Source organism: Homo sapiens, chromosome 12 (genome assembly GCF_000001405.40).
Source record: "Homo sapiens chromosome 12, GRCh38.p14 Primary Assembly".
NCBI lineage: Eukaryota > Metazoa > Chordata > Mammalia > Primates > Hominidae > Homo > Homo sapiens.
The window spans coordinates 1,819,164-1,837,675 of NC_000012.12; the positions used below are offsets into that span (position 1 = coordinate 1,819,164).

At 58.0% G+C, this 18,512-nt stretch overlaps 2 protein-coding genes across 8 annotated transcripts in view, besides 5 other annotated features; one reads left to right on the forward strand and one right to left on the reverse strand.

The window, feature by feature from the left end:
• CACNA2D4 (calcium voltage-gated channel auxiliary subunit alpha2delta 4) overlaps nt 1-18,512 on the reverse strand; it is a 126,690-nt gene that overhangs the window by 27,201 nt on the left and 80,977 nt on the right. The gene's annotated exons all lie outside the window — the stretch shown is intronic.
• Nucleotides 972-1,718: an enhancer, noted in NCBI's record as "H3K4me1 hESC enhancer chr12:1929301-1930047 (GRCh37/hg19 assembly coordinates)". NCBI's record gives its function as "activates a minimal SCP1, AML or CMV promoter by ChIP-STARR-seq in naive H9 embryonic stem cells {active_cell/tissue: H9 hESC(naive)}" and the evidence as "EXISTENCE:reporter gene assay evidence [ECO:0000049][PMID:30033119]".
• Nucleotides 1,402-17,590, forward strand: LRTM2 (leucine rich repeat transmembrane protein 2). Of its 5 annotated transcripts, none has more exons than NM_001163926.2 (5): nt 1,402-1,651; nt 8,244-8,431; nt 8,913-9,052; nt 11,772-12,362; nt 15,104-17,590. In NM_001163926.2, the coding sequence occupies exons 3-5, from the start codon at nt 8,986-8,988 to the stop codon at nt 15,556-15,558; spliced, it is 1,113 nt and encodes a 370-aa protein (NP_001157398.1). In that variant the 5' UTR covers nt 1,402-1,651; nt 8,244-8,431; nt 8,913-8,985; the 3' UTR covers nt 15,559-17,590. The 5 variants fall into 5 exon arrangements, with proteins under 5 accessions (NP_001157398.1, XP_011519317.1, NP_001157397.1 ...); XM_011521015.2 differs by having other exon boundaries at nt 8,247-8,652; NM_001163925.2 differs by having other exon boundaries at nt 8,247-8,467.
• Nucleotides 6,540-6,834: a silencer, noted in NCBI's record as "tiled region #2999; K562 Repressive non-DNase unmatched - State 21:Repr". NCBI's record gives its function as "represses a minimal TATA promoter and a strong SV40 promoter by Sharpr-MPRA in K562 cells {active_cell/tissue: K562}" and the evidence as "EXISTENCE:reporter gene assay evidence [ECO:0000049][PMID:27701403]".
• Nucleotides 8,996-9,535: an enhancer, noted in NCBI's record as "H3K4me1 hESC enhancer chr12:1937325-1937864 (GRCh37/hg19 assembly coordinates)". NCBI's record gives its function as "activates a minimal SCP1, AML or CMV promoter by ChIP-STARR-seq in naive H9 embryonic stem cells {active_cell/tissue: H9 hESC(naive)}" and the evidence as "EXISTENCE:reporter gene assay evidence [ECO:0000049][PMID:30033119]".
• Nucleotides 11,398-12,011: an enhancer, noted in NCBI's record as "H3K4me1 hESC enhancer chr12:1939727-1940340 (GRCh37/hg19 assembly coordinates)". NCBI's record gives its function as "activates a minimal SCP1, AML or CMV promoter by ChIP-STARR-seq in naive H9 embryonic stem cells {active_cell/tissue: H9 hESC(naive)}" and the evidence as "EXISTENCE:reporter gene assay evidence [ECO:0000049][PMID:30033119]".
• Nucleotides 16,281-16,781: an enhancer, noted in NCBI's record as "H3K4me1 hESC enhancer chr12:1944610-1945110 (GRCh37/hg19 assembly coordinates)". NCBI's record gives its function as "activates a minimal SCP1, AML or CMV promoter by ChIP-STARR-seq in naive H9 embryonic stem cells {active_cell/tissue: H9 hESC(naive)}" and the evidence as "EXISTENCE:reporter gene assay evidence [ECO:0000049][PMID:30033119]".

Genomic DNA, 18,512 nt, shown 5'->3' on the forward strand with positions numbered 1-18,512 from the left:
AAGCCACCCATGGGCAGGAGAGCATTTCAGGCCCAGGGAAGAACACGCTTTCATGGAGATGGAGAAGCAGGAAGTATGTTTATGGGGAGGTGGGAGCCTCTTTTGCTTGACAGTGGGATGTGTGGGAGGCACCAGCATGAGAGGTCAGAGGCGGGACTCCCCAGAGGTAAAAGACACTGCAGCTCAAGCCTTGTGCTGCCCGGGGACCCGGCAGAACGGACAGAAGGGAGTGAGCAGGAGCATCCTTCTAGGGGCATCCTGAGTCCAGGGGGTTCTTCTACACCCACCCCAGTCCTGGCTGTGAACCCCTCCAGCAAAGCAGGCAAAATGGAAGAGGGACATAGGACACGGTGATATATCGCTAGCACGGTGCTTCATCTGTCTACAGGCAGTGGACGCAAAGGAAGGGGGATTTAGGGTTCGTGCTCCAGGCTGGTGGGGCCCTGGCTCCCCTCTAGCTTGGTCCCTGACTCACTTGGCCTTCAGATCAGCCACTTCCCATCTCTTAGGATATCAATTTTTCTGACTTGCTTTGTCCTGATTGGTTAAGAAAGAGGCCTCCAAGTTCTTGAATGACAGTCTCTTCCCTTCGCATGCCTGACCCATCACAGATAAGAGCAAGGAGCCCTGAGAAGCCAAGCTCGTCCCTGGCACTGAGAACGGTCTGCAGGCTGCTGCTGCAGGCTGCCCTGTGCCCAAACTCCCAGCCTGCCAACTCTGGCATTCTGCTTCCCTAAGTAGTCCTGGCGTCGGGTGGTCAGACCCTGAGGCTCAGTGACCTCTGCATGACCATGTGATCCCTGGCTTTGTGGGGGCTCAGGGCCCTTTCCTGTAGGGTCATCTGGCACATGGACATGCCTGTGTACCCTTCTTTCGTATGACCGAGAGAAGGGTTCGGTTTTTCCTTCTCTCAGGCAGGATGGGAGACTCTGCCTCGCATGTCTCTAAAACAGGAGAAAGACCAGCTTCCCAGGGGGGCCTCCATCGGAACAGAAGTCAGCCGCTTGCTCTGTGTCTGCGCCTGTCCCTCTTTCCCCAGATGGAGGGGAAGAGAGGAGAGAGGCACAGAAGACAGGTGCAGCCGGGGGGGTGAGGGAGAGCCTGGAGGCGCAGGATGGAAGATGGAGGTGGTGGTGAAACCGCTTTCCTCCTCCCTGTGGTCGGCAGCGATTCATCCACAGGCGCCTTTTTCCACTGAAATGTGAGCGTGGCCAGGGTGAGCGCTGCCCTCGCGGCCGGCCGTGGTGCCTCTGGTGTGCGCCTGTGTGTGCTGCTGCCGCTGTCATCACAGATGCACCCCAGCTGTCACTCCCCGCTCCACTCTGGCTCGCTGCTCGCGCACACGCGTGCGCTCTCCTCCCTCGCCCCTTTCTTCCCTCTCTCCTCTCTCTCTCTCCCTCCATCCCTCTCTTTCCTTCTCAGTTTGTGACTGACCCAGCAGCCCCGTCCCCCGTCTGCCACAAGCAGTCCACCTCCTGGTGCTGTGTGCTGCGTGCCAGCCGCTGCTCCCGCTGAGTGGAGACTCTGGCACCAGTGCCCACTGCGCTCTGCCTGCCGGTGGTGTCTGGATTTCTATAGGAATCCCAGGAGGGTCTTACTGGAGGGTTGAGAGCCACCTGATTGAAGGCGTTTGCAGTCAGAGTAAAGACGGGTGAGTACCGAGTGGCTGGTAGGAAGGAATGGAGGGTTGGTGGGGACAGGGGGTGGTCGGGGCATGGGAAGTGGGCACCGGCCATCTCTGCCCTGCAGGAATAGCTGCAGTTGCTTCCTACCTGCAGGCAATTGCTGGGGCCGAAGAAGCTGCTCGGGCTCAGGCACCTGAGCATCCCAAAGGTGCACGACACTGGGAACTCTGAGCCCACAGTGCTGGGGACAAGAGCTGTGGATTCTGCTGGGAAGTGGGGAGGAGGGCAGCGCTGGCGCCAGATGACAGTCCCGGGTGGCATAGAAACCGGTCCCTGCAGCATGGGAGAAGCAGCCAAGAGCCTTGTGCTGTCGTTGTGCCCGGCTCTGCACAGACAGCCCCAAGAAACTCGGGGGTCATGGGAAGCGGTTGGGATGGCAGTCAGGTGCTGGGGACAGGGCCAGGTCAGAGGAAGGCTTGGGGTGGAGGGTGGCAGGGAGGAGGTCCTGGATGTCAGAGGCATGGGCACAGACCCAGGTCCTGGGCCTCCCTATAGCTTGCCTGCAGGTGGCTGTCCTTGGACAAGGGTGTGGAGGAACCCTCCCCCAGATGAGCATGGGCCCACTCAGCTGTGCATGAAGCCTCCCTGGTGAGGGTGAGGCTGGGAGTGGGCAGGAGAGAGAAGTATCGCAGCCCTTCCCTGCTAGCCCAAGGGCAAGACAGGAGAACCAGGCCCGCGAGAACCTGCTGGGGTGTCCCGCAGCTGTGCACCCAGCCGTCCATCTGCAAATGGGTCAGGGAGCCTTAGTGGGGGCTGGACACTGAGCTTGGGTGGGGGGTACACAGCGGGGCCAGGCCTGCCTGGCTTCTTGACCCACACAGGGGGCATGGACACCCTGAGTAGAGCGGGACAGTTGCTCTCAATCCCCCAGACCCATTTGGACAGTGCTGGAGAGAGGAGCAGCCTGACCAGGAGTCGGAAGTTCACATTCCTGCACCTCCCTGCAGGTCTGGGGCTGGGTTCCAGTTGGCGGCCCTGTCTCTCCCCCACCCCCAAGCTGTCCACATTTCTGGGGGGTGTTGGCACCCGGCTGTCAGGGCTACTTGGGCAGTGTCTCTTTGTGACTCAGATGACACCCCTGCAGCTTAGATAACTGCCTCAGGTGGGGGCGGGGAGGGAGCCGAGCACGTGGAGCTGAGGCGGGGGAAGTCCAGCTGGTAGGGAAACCCGACAGCAGCTTCCGAGCTGCCAAGAAGAGCCCAGCTTTTCCCACCCCCACCTCCCCACCGGCAGAAAGAAAGTCTCAGCACTGCCAAAAGAGGGAGACCAGGAAAGCCAGGCCCGCGGGGAGGGGTAAGGAGAGAGGCTGCTTAAGCAGCCGATCTGGTGTCTTTGGGGTTTGACAGAAGCTTGTCTGGGCCCACGAGGAGCAAACTCTGCTCCCGTTTCCCAGGCACCAGAGCCCAGGGGCCGCCTCTGGGCTGCTATGGCCTCAGTGGGCAGTGTAGGAAGGAGGAGGGGATGGCATGTATGTGATGGTTGGGGGTGTCTGGGAGTTCTGGGGGTGGGCAGAGGAGAAAGGAGCCAGCATAGAGGCTGTCTGCCCCTCTGGTCTTCCTCCTTTTTCCCCCAGCCAAGCCTCCTGTGCCCTGCCTGGGAATACCACCCTGAGCCCAGCCCCAGGGACACCACCCTGAGCCCGGCCCCAGGGCCCAGTGGACACCTTAGCCTCCTTCATGTCAGGGACCAGCTCCCATGAGGGGCCACTCAGGAGGCTTCTCTGTTCTGCTTCCCAGAGGGTCTGTTTGAGATTGAGAATATTTGACAAGGAAACGGGGGTGCAGGAGGCTGGGGGTGAGGATGGGGCATGTGTTTTAAAATGAACCAGGAGGGTATATGGCTGTTCCAAGTACAAATATAGAGATTTTTAAAACCTGGTTCCTTGCTGCCTGGGCAGTGTGTGTGATGGGGGTGATGGGCAGCTGTCCTAGAGGGCCTGGGTGCCCAGACAGGCAGCGGTAGGCGGAGCCCAGCCTAGACGGCTGTGGCAGCCTCCCCTGCGTCCTGGCCACATGGAATCTCGGGCCGTCTTTGGCCCGGGGCTCTGGCTGGCCACTCTCCGGGCTCCCTCTCAGCCTTCCTGGGGTTGGTGGAAGGGCACGGCCCCTGCAGGCCCAGGGTGTGGGCCCAGTCGTGGCTCTGCTTCTCTCTGGCCTTCTGCAGAGTGAAGGGGGCGGCAGAGTAGGCTGCAAATGCCCCCTTTACCCCTGAGTTCTGTGACTCTTCCATGCTGAGGGGTATGGACTCTTGACCAAGGGGAGATGCCAGGGGAGTGGGCACACCCTAGGGCTAGTGTGATGGCCCAGGAGTCAGGAATTCAGAGGTGGAGGCCCGATGGGCATTATCTGGCTGTGTGTCTTGGATGCTTGATGTGGAGGGATAGACATGCGCAGAAGCCTGAGAGGAAGGGTGCGGACACCAGGTCTGTGGTGAGTGTGCTGGAGGTTTCTAGCTAGAGTCTGAGACTGATTAATTAACCTCCATCTGAGGAGAAATGGAAGGGGCAGGTGCATGGAGCGGTCCAGGCTCCTGCCGTCCCAACCTAGCTCTCTGCAGTGAGTGAGTGCGTGCGGCTGTTCCGTGCTCTGAGGGGGCCGAGTGGGGTGCTAGCAGGGAGGCAGCTCCCACTCCCAGTCTCCTGGGGTGGCTACAGCCCACTCAGCTCCGCATGTGGAACCCCCTGCTCCTACTGGGGCCTCCTGCTCCCCCATGGCCTCCCCAGCCTTGGCTCCCCCAGAACAGAGCTCCGGCCTACTCCCCTCACCTCAGCACACAACCCCCAGCCAGAAAGGTTTCTAGAAAGCCCCCCACCTTCCGTAAGATCTTGGCCTCCCAGGACTTCAAGAAGAGAGGCTGGGAAGAGGAGAACCTGTCTTGCTTGCATCTCAGTCCAGCAAGTCACAAAGCCTGTTCCTTCATCAGGGCAATGGGGACAAAAACAGCTGCCTTCTCAGCTCCAGCGGGAGTGGATCAGGCAATGCCGTGGACACTGCAGAGGACCATTCAGAGGAAAGGCGGCATCTTCCTTTCCTACCTCTGCCTTTCCTGTACAAGTAACCCCCACGTGTAAGCAGACAGACAACTGAGTTAGGAGCCAGAGAGCTCGGGCTCAGAGCCATATGATTCCATTTGCCTAACTTTAGGTGAGTTATTTCATTTCTGGTGCCTCAGTTTCCCCCATCTGCAAAATGATAGTAACAAGAACACTAACCTCAGAGAGTTGTTACAAGGATTCAGAAAACTACACAGGTTTGTGACTGTGGTAATTTTTTTCTCCCCAGGTCCCAGTTAGCTTCTCAGTGGGTCCTGGAGGCTCAGGGACAGGCCAGCATGGTCTCCTCGGTGGCCGTTTGCCCTGCTGAGAGGTGCCCGGCCTAGTCGTATCAAACTCAAATATGCATGAAAATCCCCTGGGGATCTTGTTAAAATGCGGATTCTGACTCAGTCATTCTGGATGGGCCCTGAGACTACCTTCCTACAAGGCTCCCAAGCTAGACCAATGCCGCTGGTCCATGGACCACACTTTGAGTTGCAATGGTCTACACTCAAAGCCCCATGTTTCTGGCCCTCCAGAGTTCCTCATTTGACTGCTTTGAGCTCTTCAGCCCCATTCTCCAATCCTGGCTCTCTCTGGAAGGGAGGCCAGGGACTCCGTGGAGGCCTGGCCCCTTATCTTTGGCCTCCCTGTCTCTAGGACTGGGTTAGGAGCAGGCCCAGCATCCAGAGTGGATGAGGCCATGGGACTTGCAGACAGGAGATCTCGCTGTCCCCCATGCTGCACCCTGGGTAGGGACTTCCCTCCCAGACTGTGAATTCATTTCAGCAGCTGTCAGTGCCTGCTGCGGCAGCTGCTCTCCAAGCTTCCCAATGTAGGTCACCCCCTTTCCTTAAGGAGGCTCCACTCTTCTGGGGGTGGGAAGGGTCCTTTGGATGGAGGCGTGTTGGTAGGCAGAGGCTAAGGAACTAGGGAGTGCTGGCTGCAGCCCCACCTCTCTCTAGGAGTCCCTCTGTGGTGCCACACACATATGACTGGTGTTCCCTGCAAGCTGCGCTATTTTTCCTGCTCTTGGGAAGGCCCTGGTGTCCAGGAGGAAGCCCAAGGGACCCAGGGAGGCAGGATTAGCTGCTAAGAGAGCACAGGGCATATCCGCATGAACCTGGGGGCCTTGTTTTCATCACATTTCTCTAAACAATACCAGGATCAACAGTGTCCTGCCACCTTGCAAGACAACACCTGTGGGTCTGCATTGTGGGGACTTGCCGGACTTGTGCAGGTGACATCCCATTCGAGGCTGAAGATGGGACCTCCAGACCTGCACAAGAGGCCGCCTTCACCAGCCTGTTTGCTGGTTAACTCCTGGGCTCACAGTGTGGGAGACACTGAGGGATGGGAGAGGGTGAGGTGGGATGCAAAAGAGGAGCCTATCCAGGGGAGGCAGAAGCCTTAGGTGGAAACTGGCCTGAGCTTGGGTGGGAGGGCTTCTCCACTACCTATCTGCCTGCGGCAAGCCAGAAGGAGTGGGAGCAGACACCTGGATGGGGAATCCGGCCTCAACATGGGCCCTGGGCAGAGGAGGTGTCTTATGGGTTAGGGACTGCTCTGCAGGGGTTCTCTCTAGACCTTAGTTCCAGGCTGGAGGCGGCTTACACATCTGTCTGTTGGGGGCATTTGGGAACTTAGAGGCATCTCACTCAGCTGCCTGAGTGTTGGCATTTGAGAAGTGCTGGAGTGCTGCCAGCCAGGTGCGTGTGTGCATGTGTGCAAGCATGTGGGCACATGTATGTTAGCACATACCTAGCTGCACAGCTCTCTGTGGGTGTGTGTTTGCATCACGTGCTGTGTACAGAGCTCCAAGCACAGGTCTGGGAGGCCTGTGTGTGTGCCCTGCTCTGTGCACACGTAAGTATCTCCCTGAAAGGGCCACTGCTGGGTGACAGTCGCCAGGGAGTGATGAGCAGCCTGCAGCCTGGCTCTGAAACCTGCAATCCAGTCCCGGACTTACCATGTGACCTTGGACAAGTGATCAACATCTCTGCCTTGGGTGGCCGTGGACTGTGAGCTCTTGATATGGACATTCTTGACTGAGTAAGAGAGATTGTGCTGAAGGTCAGGGCTCGAGGGACAGAGAGCGTGCACGCTGCTGTTTGAAGGCAGGCCTGCGAGGGCCGTAGGTGTGGGGCAGAAATACATAGACTCCACAGGCCCGGGGTGCTCAGGAATGAGAAACAACCTCACAGGGGAGGTTGGTGGGATCGGGAAAGAAAGCCGTCACAATAGACCTGCTGCTGACACCCCTCTCCTCTGGAGGGAGGAACTGCTGCTCCCTCACGCCTGTACTGGGCTCAAGTCCGAGCTAGGAGCAGGAGCCTCTGCCTGAATTTCCATGGTGATGGGCACTGGGTGTGTCAACTCTCTTCCCTTCACTAGATTGATCCTCATAGAAACTCCACCAAGCAGGTATTGCGGTCACCATTTCTAGACAGAAAGAAGCTGAGGCCCAGAGGCTTTAAGCAGTTTGTTTAAAGAACGGACCAGAGATTTGAACCCAGAGCCCCCCCCCCCCCCCCGCCAACTGGCACCAGGAGCCCACTGGAGCCTGGCCTTGAGACAGTGGTTAGAGAACCATGACAGCACCACGCTCAGGGGCTCCTCCACCCCTCATGCCAGGGACGTGGGTCCTCCTGAAGGCTGCATGGGCACCTGGGCTGCCTGCAATCCCACATCTGTGCCCAGTCTTGTGACCCCTCTGCCAACGCCTGCGGGGCCTTCGGCAGACTGGCACCCTCGCTGCGTGGGGGAAGGGGAGGAAAGACAGCCGAGAGGGCGGCACTCCGCTCCTCAGCAGGCTGCCCTTGCCGGGGGCAGAGCCGACTGTCCTGTTCTAACTGAGCACTGCTGTGGCCGCCTGAGGAGCACCCAAGGAGGGAGGGGCCGAGGGGACCAGAGGGGAGAAGATGGGGGCAACAGGGTTTGCAGCAGGACCCTAATGCCCGAGGGGAAACCTGCACAGACAGGCCAAGATTCTGGGCTCAGCACTGAAGCTTCTCGGCAGCTCCATCCACCTCTGGGCCTGTCTTTTTCACTCTGATATTGTCTCCTGGGCTCCCAGAATTCCATAGGCCCATGGGGGCAGGGAGAGGGAGGCTGCAACCAGGAATTACCCAGGGACAAATCTGGCAACCAAGGAAGGTCAGAGGCTGGGAGCCGCCTGGAGCAGTGGGCTGACGCAGGGAGCCCGTGGAGGGCGAAGGAGAGGGGTGCGGGCATCCTCCCTCCCTCCCTGCCCATCCCCGCCCTTGCCAGCTGCAGCAGGTAAACACATGCCAGTCCCCTGTCCCCCTCTCTGATGGGCTGGCAGCCTGGGCCTCCCATCTGGAAGGAAGTGGAGACCCCAGCACACAGCCTGTGTCCCAGTTGGGAGACACTGGGGGGGGCAGACCCTAGAAAGGGTAAGTGCCCCCTTGTCCCCCGCGAAGGAAGCCTGCTCCTGCGCCCTGGCTGCCTCAGCGCCCCTACTCTGCGTTCTCACCTCTCCTTGTGTCCCTGTCTCTTCCTAGCAGCTGCCGCAGCATGAACCCCTGAGCTGATGAGTCTTATTATAGCCCGGCTGGCGGAAGACAGAGTGCTGCTATTCACCTCTGCGTGGGCGTCGGTGGTGCAGGGGGAAGCAGCAGGCCATCCAGCGGCTCACACCCTACGCGGCTGCAGCTGCCAAGGGCCTGGCCCCTGCCTCCCTCGGGCCATGGTGAGCTGTGGCGGGGCTAGAGGAACCGGGACCCAGGTGAGGGGAGCCTCCAGGGACAGGTGACAGTTGTGGCCTGTGACCTCACTCTGCTCACCTCGGAGAGATGACCTCAGTTTCTCCACCCATAACTCAAGGAATGCCCAGATGGGAGACCAGGTTGCCATGAAAACATCTGAGTGATCAACATACTCGGGAGGCAACAAGAAGGCAGATGAGGCTGGGTAGGCCCATGGGTGCACCCCCAGCTTTGCGGCACTGTGCCCGACCCTCGGGCTCCTGGAAAGCCGAAGCCTGCCCCGCCCCCATCCCAGGGGCTTGAAGGCTTCCTGGCTCCTCTTCTTCCCCCACCCAGGGAATCATAACTGAGAGGAACAGGAGAGGGCATGAGGAGTGTAAAGAGACACCCGGGCCCTCTCCCTAACCCCTGGGCTGGAACGGGGCTCCCGCGCCTGCCTGTGCTCAGTGCTCCTCCCTCCCTCAGGACTGACAGGCGGCGCACCCAGGGGCTCCTCTCTCCCCAGAGCGACAGGGCCCGGAGAGCCGTGGGCCTCACCATGCTGGCGCCGGGCAGCAGCCCTGGGCAGAGGGGCAGGCTCGCCCTGCAGTGGAGGCAAGTCTCCTGTGAGTACACCCCTGGCCTCGGAGGGGGGTGCGGGTTGGGTGGGGGTGCCGAGGTGACTGTAGGTAGCGCCATATGGGACCTTAGCCACACTCAGGCTGCAGGGAGGCCTACGCCAGATCTTCCTGGGGTACCCGAGGCTATGTTCTGGGAAGCCAGGGTCACGCCCACGGTGACAGCATCCCTGCCAGTCAGAGTCACCGCTGAGTGCTGAGTGGTTAGACCTGGAGCTGGAGGCCACGACAGTTGTTCTACCTCCCCCAGGTAAGTCTCTGTGAGCTTGCTGGGGTCCCCAACAGGAGAAGAGCTCTGCTGGAATGCAGGCCTGCTGAGTCTTAAACAGCCTCACTGGTGCCTGAGCTTGTCGGCCTGTGTCACAGACTGCGGCGAGCCCTTTTGCTCCCGTGGGGAACTGCCCCCTTGGCTGGCCTCGGCCAGGAGCTGGGTCAGCTTGGAGATGTCTCTTATGCTCCTTATGCCTCCGCTTTCCCAACTCTCGGTAGAGGACCTAGTGGGCTCGTGGGATGCGGCGCTGGAAGAGACTTTGGGGAGTGGGTCCAACCCCTCCTGCATATAGGCAGACTGAGCCGTCCATTTACCAAAAAGGGGAGGAAGCGTGAATGAAGGCAACACTTGGCAGCTGTCAGGGTGAAAGGAGCCCTGAGAATTCTCTTTATATGTGGCAAAGGGACCAGGTCAGCAAGGGCTGGTCTGCCCAAGGCTACACGGTGGCAGGGAGGAAACGGTCCCGCGGGACGGCATTCCGCCTGACTTCCCGCTCTGATCCAGCACCCAACACGGGCAGCCTGAATTATTCACCATGTGAGAGAGGCTGGCCCCTGAGTGACTCAGATCTCCTTTCAGCCTCATTCTAGAATCACTCAACACCTCGCAATACGGGCTTATGTTTTCTTGTCACTGGAGCTTTTATGCCACCTTGATCTCCAGGGAGGTGGGGGGCGCAGGGAGTCGCTCTTCCGCAGCGGCTCTCTTAGCCTGCTGTCAGGCCCTTCTCTGGGAGGGGCGAGCGGCTTCTGGTGATGCAGATCCTTTTGAGAGGGAGCTGAATGCGTTGGATTTTATTTCCTGGGGAAAGTCAAGTCTGAAGAATGCTGATTTTCAAATGGCTTGGGGTGGTGGTATGGGGCTGGCTGATCTGGTAGCAGACGGGCTCAGAGGGGTGAGAGGGTGAGCGGAGACATGAGGTAACCCAAGATGGCCAGAAAAAGGGTCTCCGGTGGCTTCCATGGCTGTACCTGTGCTCACTTCTCGCCAAGAACAGTGAGGCTTGCTGTTAGGCTGCAGGGAGGCCTGGGCCAGATCTAGCCACGTGTCAGCTCTCAGCTGTCATCGATCCTCCAGGCAGGGAAGGGGAGAGTCTCATCCTGTTCCTTCAAGCTCCACCCTTTGGGACAGCAGACACCCAGACCCCTACTGGACAAGACTCAAGGCTGTTCAGACCCAGCTCACAGCCCATCGGCCCACCCCGACCTGGGACAGCCAGGTCCCAGGTCCCATGTCAGGGTGGGCCGATGGGCTGTGAGCTGGGTCTGAACTTCTCCATCAGTTCTCTGGCTGGGGTCTTTTCTCTAGGCTGGGTGGAACTGACCTCGGCTGGGCTGACCTGGTGGGGCTGAACTATTTTGAATTCTTCCCAGTTCTCTTTCACGATGAGCAGGCTTCTCTGCTACTCAGGAGGACACTTAGGGGTTTTTGAGGCCACTATTGGAAAGGGCTGCTGCATAATGGAAGGCACTGCTCTGATGTGATTGTTCCCTGAGGGTTACTTCTCCCAGCCCTACAGACAGGACCCCATGCTCGCTACGCAGAAGGGTCTTGGGCAAAAGATGGGACCAGGAAACGAATTCTATTCATCGGGCCATTGTGCAGGAATGCTGCCCTGTAGCCCCTAGGAACAGAAGCCCAGGCTGAGAGCCTAGATGGCTTTAGGGTGGGGGTTAAAGTGGAATGTGTCCTGGGCCCCATGACTTGTCAATGTTGAAGTGGGTTTGTACATCTTAGCCTGTCACTCCCACAGTGGGACCCTAGGTGCACAGCCTGGGCTCTAAATCCTCATGCCAAACTGCTGGCGTCATCATGGGTGTGGGATTGATGGAAACATAACAGCACTTGGGACGCCGTGAAGGACAGGGCTAGGAGTGCTGTTTTGTGCTCTCGCCTTTCCATACACAGCTCCAGAGTTGGGGTGGGCCACAGAGGGGAGGGAGCCAGCAGCCTGGCCATTTTCCCTGGGAAACAAACTCTGTCCCAGCAGTGACACTGGGAGAGGGCATGGGAGCAGGTTTCTCTGACAACCTTATCTCCTTTCTTGTGTCAACATCCATGGTGTCAGTGGGACCCAAACTCCCCGGGAGATGACTGTGGGAGGCCCTGTGAGCTTCCTATCACTGCACCAGCATGGCTTGTCTCTGGGCTCTGGCTGAGTCTGCAGGGTCATTCTCCACTCAAGTGATTCCTCTGCCAGATGTGTGGCAAGGCAGGGCGCCCTGCAGACACTGTGTGATGTCCATTAATATGGAAGTGGCTTTGGATTTGTTAATTATGCTTTTATGTGGTTAATAAACGTTTATGCATTGATTGTGGCTTGTGCCAAAGGAGATAAAGCCAAGAGCCTGTTATGAGCTAGAAAGGAGGGAAGAGAAGCAGGAGGTGGTGACCCGTCCTATTGCTTTCTTTCCCCCGTCTGTCCCTCCCACCAAGGGATCACCTGCTGGATCGCCCTGTATGCTGTGGAGGCCCTCCCCACCTGCCCTTTCTCCTGCAAGTGTGACAGCCGCAGCCTGGAGGTGGACTGCAGTGGCCTTGGCCTCACCACGGTGCCCCCAGACGTGCCCGCAGCCACCCGAACCCTCTTGCTCTTGAACAATAAGCTGAGTGCCCTGCCAAGCTGGGCTTTCGCCAACCTCTCCAGCCTGCAGCGGTTGGACCTGTCCAACAACTTCCTGGACCGGCTGCCCCGCTCCATTTTCGGGGACCTGACGAATCTGACTGAGCTTCAGCTGCGCAATAACAGCATCAGGACCCTGGACAGGGACCTGCTGCGGCACTCGCCGCTGCTCCGCCACCTGGACCTGTCCATCAACGGCCTGGCCCAGTTGCCCCCTGGTCTTTTCGACGGGCTCCTGGCTCTGCGCTCCCTCTCGCTTCGCTCCAACCGTCTGCAGAATCTGGACCGGCTGACATTTGAACCCCTAGCAAACCTGCAGCTGCTGCAGGTCGGGGATAACCCCTGGGAGTGTGACTGTAACCTGCGTGAGTTCAAACACTGGATGGAGTGGTTCTCCTACCGAGGTGAGCGCAGCCGGCCCTGCTGGGGCCCGAGGGATTGGGACGATCACCTCTGGCCCCACACTTTCCTCCTGGTGGCTGGGTGCTGACTCAGAGAGCAGGCCAGGGGAAAGAAGGGGGCGACCCTGCCTCTGTGCCAGCTCGGCTAGAAAAGTCACAAGCCTCCCCTCACATGAGCCATCACCCTTCCTGCCAATGGGAGAGAGGCTGGTGCTGCTCCCTCCACCCCCACCCTCCCCTCCCTGCTCTGCATCCCCTCCCCCAGCCAGCTCCCCACTTTCTCCTAGGACTCACTGAACTGGATCTCCCTTTCTTAGGTTACATAAGGGCAGTAAAGACACCTGGGCTTTGTATCCCGCCAAGTTTGCCTGTGGGCTTCCCCAGTGTGGTAGAAGGAGGGAGAAAAACAGCTCTTCTGAAGAATACAGCCATCTCTTAAACATCTCCCCTTACATGAGAGGGGAATAGAATGAATCCTCAGTAAAACCAAATCTTCCTTTTGGTGACAGTGCCAACTTCCTCTCCCAAGTTTTATTATCCAAACTTTAAGAAGAAGTCAAATGGGTTAGGCTTTACTTTCTTCCCTTCCCATTTTCTTTAATATGGGAAAGTGCTGTAATGACCTATGACATGATCACATGACATGGGAGAGGAGGGTGCGCAAGATGGTGGTGAGGAGGGCCAGGTCTGCGTCTGAATTTCGGCTCTGCCACCTGCCAGCTGTGTGATCTTGAGAAAGCTGGTTACCCTTTCGCTGTGGCAGGGCCTGGTCTGTAAAGTGGGAAGGAAACAATATCTATTTCGTAGGGTCATTATGAGAATTAAATGTGGCAATGCACGGAACGTGGCTTGAGAGGTGCCCAGCACAAAGTGAGTCCTCAATAAAACGTCCATTTATCCGTTCACTTCCTGGTAATAATCAAATACTAAGTGGACTTGAAACACCATTTGGCACGAAGAAGATGCTCAATGAATGTTTGCTGGGCTAAGGAATCAACATTTAAGTGGTGAAAATAATGCCAATGCTTTTTGTTAAAGTCTTACTACTTTCATTTAATCTCCAGCCACAATTTCAATTATTTCCATGAAATTCTCCTGTGTTAGTTAATTAAAAATGTTTTACAAACTATAAAGTGCCACAAAATGTTAGTCACTATGATCATTTCCCCCATTTTCATGAGCGGGGAAATAATGATTACTACTTATATAGTTTCCAGTTTACCAATGTCTTTTCATGTACATGATTTTAAACCTTACAGCAGCTAATTGAGATAGACCTTCTTATTTTACAGCTAAGAAAACTAAAACTCATAAGTAATTAAATAAATTAAATAATTTTCACAAGATGACACAGCCAGGATTCAACCGTGGGTCTTCCCAGCAGGGAAATGAGGCTGCATCCCTGTCAGCACCCAGCTTTGCATCCCCAGGCAGCACTGATACGTGTTCCTGGGATGTGAGGTTTGCTGCAGGCCACCGAGGTGTCAGCCGCACAGGGGAACTAGGCCGGGTGTCTTCAGACCCTCCTCTCCTGTGGTCGCCGGGAACTGAATTCCCAGCACAAAAATGCATGCCATGAGAATGTGCAGTTTTCAGACTTTTTCAATAGCGGAGTTGCTTTCAACATTGCATTTCTTAAAAACAAAATCCTGGAATATTTCCATCGGCATCCCAGGGAAAGATTGATGCCTATTGTATGAGGAGACTTGCGGCAGATGGGCTGCAGAGGGAGCTGCCAGTGACGGAGTGGCTGCAGCCCGCATCTTTTCGGCAGGGGGTCTAGTGCCTGCATCCAGATTTCACTGGAAGCTGAAAGAGGGCCAGAATCCAACTTTCACTTCCTAGGGGAGGTCTAGACAGATTATTGTCCTCAACCACCTTCTCTCTCACCCCAGCCCTGTCCTGCATCTGTGTCTCCCTCTGTCCAAGCCAGCCTCCACCATCATCATGAAGACATCCTGGCGAGCCCGTGCGCCCAGGTACCCACACCTCCTCATCAACACCAGCCTCCTCTCCTTGGCCTCGTGTGCCTCCAGGATTCCCCCTCCAGATGCCTTTGTACTTACAGGGCTGTGGTTGGGGCACCGATGGGGCCATTGGATTGCTCCTAAGGAGGAGAAGGAGAACATTCCTGCCCAACTCTTTTCCTCTTTACGCCAGGAAGGGAGCTGCCCATTCTTAGGCAACCAAAAGGTCTTGCGTGGAGGGGCAGCGGCAGGGGCAGTGGGTTTTGACTGCTGTCCTTTGAGTGAGAGGTAAGAACCCTAGAAGGATAAGATGCTGTGTTGAGAACGGTATCCTGGGCTCACAGACAGGTGATGAGCAGGCAGATTCGGGGGCAGAGAGTGTGGCAGGGACGCTCAGCTCTCTAATGACAGCCCTTTCCTGGGAACCTCCCCATGTTAGCACTGCCTTACTCTGTGGGTCCGTTTGGCCTGGGAGAGGACAGGCCGGATGGAAGTGGCTGCGTGCTTCTCTATAAAATGGGAATAAAGACAATATCCATTTCACATGGCTTCTGCGAGGATGAAATGGCACGATATACGTAACTCACTGTGGACTTGGCTCAATCAATGCTGTTTTCCCTCCTCCGCTTCCTCTTCTATAGATGGTGATTCCAGGATTGACTACATTGCTGATAAAAACTACCTTCTGGGGCTTCCGTTTTGGGGAGCTGGGGATGGGGAGAGGGAGTGCAAGTTCTAGATGCCTGGTCAGCCCCTCTTTTTCTCTTCTGCATGTAGGGGGACGCTTGGACCAGCTTGCCTGCACCCTGCCCAAGGAGCTGAGGGGGAAGGACATGCGGATGGTCCCCATGGAGATGTTCAACTACTGCTCCCAGCTGGAGGACGAGAATAGCTCAGCTGGGCTGGATATTCCTGGGCCACCCTGCACCAAGGCCAGTCCAGAGCCTGCTAAGCCCAAGCCCGGGGCTGAGCCGGAGCCGGAGCCCAGCACAGCCTGCCCACAGAAGCAGAGGCACCGGCCGGCGAGCGTGAGGCGAGCCATGGGCACGGTGATCATTGCAGGGGTCGTGTGCGGCGTCGTCTGCATCATGATGGTGGTGGCCGCTGCCTATGGCTGCATCTACGCCTCCCTCATGGCCAAGTACCACCGGGAGCTCAAAAAGCGCCAGCCCCTGATGGGGGACCCCGAGGGCGAGCACGAGGACCAGAAGCAGATCTCTTCTGTGGCCTGAGCGCCCATCCCCACCCGGCCAGGTAGGAAGGGCGGGGAGAGCACACGGCATTGCTCAGCCACAGCTCCCACCTTGACCCGGCGCTGGCCACTGCCTCCCCGAGTCCACCCTCCTCCCCGCCCTCCAGCAGACAAGCCACACCGGGTTCTCTCCCTGCACTTTCGAGGCTCCCTGAAAGCCACCGTGCTGGGGGCTCCTGCTGATGCTCCTGTCTGGGCCAGTAAATCTTTGGAACATGTGGGGGATCTCCCTAAGCTCTGGCCACAGCAAAGCAAGGAGGTGTGTGCAAGAGGAGGCTTCCGGACTGGGCATTCCCCTGTCGCCCTTCCTGCCCTGGGGTGGCCATAGCTGGTGACTCTTCCTACCTTGCTGGTCCCACCTCACCTGCATTGAGGGGACGGGGAGGGAGGGATCTGAGGGATGAAGGTAGATTTCTGAGACTCTCTCCTAAGCCAGAAAGACGTTCTTAACACCCCTGCAGTGTGAAAGCTGGTCCAGCTCTACAACTGTTGGTACCAATGTGCAAACACACCAGCCCTGCCATCTGGACCCAGCACTCAGAAACACCATACACCCCTGGCCGACGCCATCATGCCCCTGGATCTGCTATAGGCCACACTGACCACATGCTCCTGGATTCGCTAATTCACTCACACACCCATTGCATCACCAGTGCGGTCACATGGATTGAAAGAATTAATACACACACACACACACACACACTCACACGGTCACACGGAGACCGAGGCTATGAGCGCTCGAACAGCAGAGACATGCTCTTCCCCAGGGGTCTCCCTGAGACCACAGAGCCTCTCGCGTGCTCACTGCAATCTTCTCAAGTCAACAGCAGGAAGGAACTCAACCAGTAACACCAGGATCCTTTGAGATCCTCTAAAGTGGGCCAAAGTGGTGCCCCTGGAGGAGCCCTCCTGTCACCATGGTAACCCTCTCACACCTCTCCTGCTGGGCTTTCCCGGGATACCACCCAGGGGCCTGGAGCGGCTGCATGTGTGCATGGCGGCCTCCTGAGGACCCAGCCACACACCACTGGTGTTGCCTCGGTCCTGCCCACGCATCTCACAGCACCAGGCCCTGTGGGGCCCCCACTGATTCCTCCACAGCCTGCAGCCTGGCACCGTGACTCTGTGCCTCTCGCCCTCCATCTTCAGTACTCCTGGCCTGTGACTTCAGGGCTGGGACTTGGTGGTGCTTTGCCATTGGTGGCACCCTCTGGGGAAAGCAGGTGGCAGGCAGAGAACACGGTGGCTCCCCTGAGGCTCATTGCCTGCCAGCTTATTGCAGACAGAGCCCAGGAGCAGGAGCGGGTGGCCACGTGCTGCCCAGAGGCTCCCAGGATGGGGCCTCTGTTCCCGGGCTTTGTCTGCTCAGTGTGGCTCCCTAGAGCACCCAGCCGGGGCCAAACCAGAGAGTGGGTGGGGAGCCTGTCTGGGACAGAGCCACCTGCTGCCAAGGCAGTGCAAGTTTTCCAGGTTACCTGTCCCCCTCCCTAGCTCTGCCCCTCCTCAGAGTGTGAAGATGGTGGGTACCTAGGTGTCATGCTCACAGGCTCAGGAGGCATCAGGCTCGTCCCTGGCTCTGGGATGGAATCTCGATGGGGGCTCAGGAAGAGGCCAGCAAGAACCCTGAAGCCAAGGGTCTGAGCAGAGGGAGTTGGCAGGCCTAGCTCCTGTGCCCCACTCCGACCCTCCCTGCTCATGCGGCAGTGGGTGGGTGAGGTGGGCTGGGGGCCTGGAGGAGTGCCTTTGAGGAGGTCAGTCCTGGCAGGTGGACAGAGGACGCCTGGCATGGGCTGCTTACTGGGACCCCAGGCGGCCCTGGCCATGGCCACAGTCTTCCTTCTTTTGGCGTGTGGGCTGGTACCAGATCTGGGGATTTTCTAAAGGGACTGGGGGGAGGGGAGGGCATTGTCAATGGTGGTATCTTTAGCCTGAGACAGAAGATTTTTAAAGGCAAAATTATATTTCTGGTTTGTTGTTTCAGAAGACCAATAAAGACTGTATTTTCCTATGTACTTCCTGGTTTCATTGGGTGGGAAGGGGACCTGGGTGCCAGGAGAGTTGCTTCCTGCCCCCCACCTCCCCAGGAGGCTGGACAAAGCACCGGTGGCCATGATCCTGATGCGTAGAGCTCTGATGACAGACGGTGCCTCCCACCCAGGGCCAGGGCTGGGGCACCGCTGGGAGAGGGCGGAGGCCGAGTCCTGGATCAGAGCCAGGCCCTGTGGCTGGGGGCAGTGAGCTCATGGCCTGGCAGATCCAGGATGGTACATCCACCCTGGCCTGACAGGCAGGTTCCTGAGCCTCAGGGCAGCTTCTCTGGGCGACACCGAGGTTGTGGTGCGAAGGTGAGCTGGGGAGCCCGCCATGGCCCGTGCCCTGTGGGTGCTGCTCATCCACCCAAGCTTGACATGAATCGGCCCTGGCAGCCAGGACAGATGGGCTCGTGTGGCGAGAAGGCACTGTTTGCCCAGAGGATGCTGCCGCACGGTGGGAGGGGAGGGCAGTTGGAGGGGCCTCGGCTGACTGGGTTCTTTCAGCCTCACTGGATGCTGGCGGGGCTGCTGGCCAGGAGGAGGAGCCTGTTCAGGGCTTACTCAGGCGACGGCAAACCATGCTCTGGGCCTGCAGGGTGAAGCCTCCACGGGGCTCAGCAGGTGGGCCCCGGAATTACGGACTGGAGGGCTGGGGAGTGAGGCACTGAGTAGAGGGGATGAGGAAGAGCATGAGACTCTGGGGTTATAAGCATGCTGCAAGCCCCACTGAAGAGCGAGCTCAACGCCCGGCCCGAGAACCCCCTCCTCAGCTATATGGTTCATTAGTCTTCAGAGGCCAAGGCGGAATTTTCTCCTTCCTAGGATCTTCCTTTGGATAACAACCCAGCGAGCCAGGAGCAAACCCTAGAGGGAAGTGAACCATCAGGGTCCCCCGGGAGTT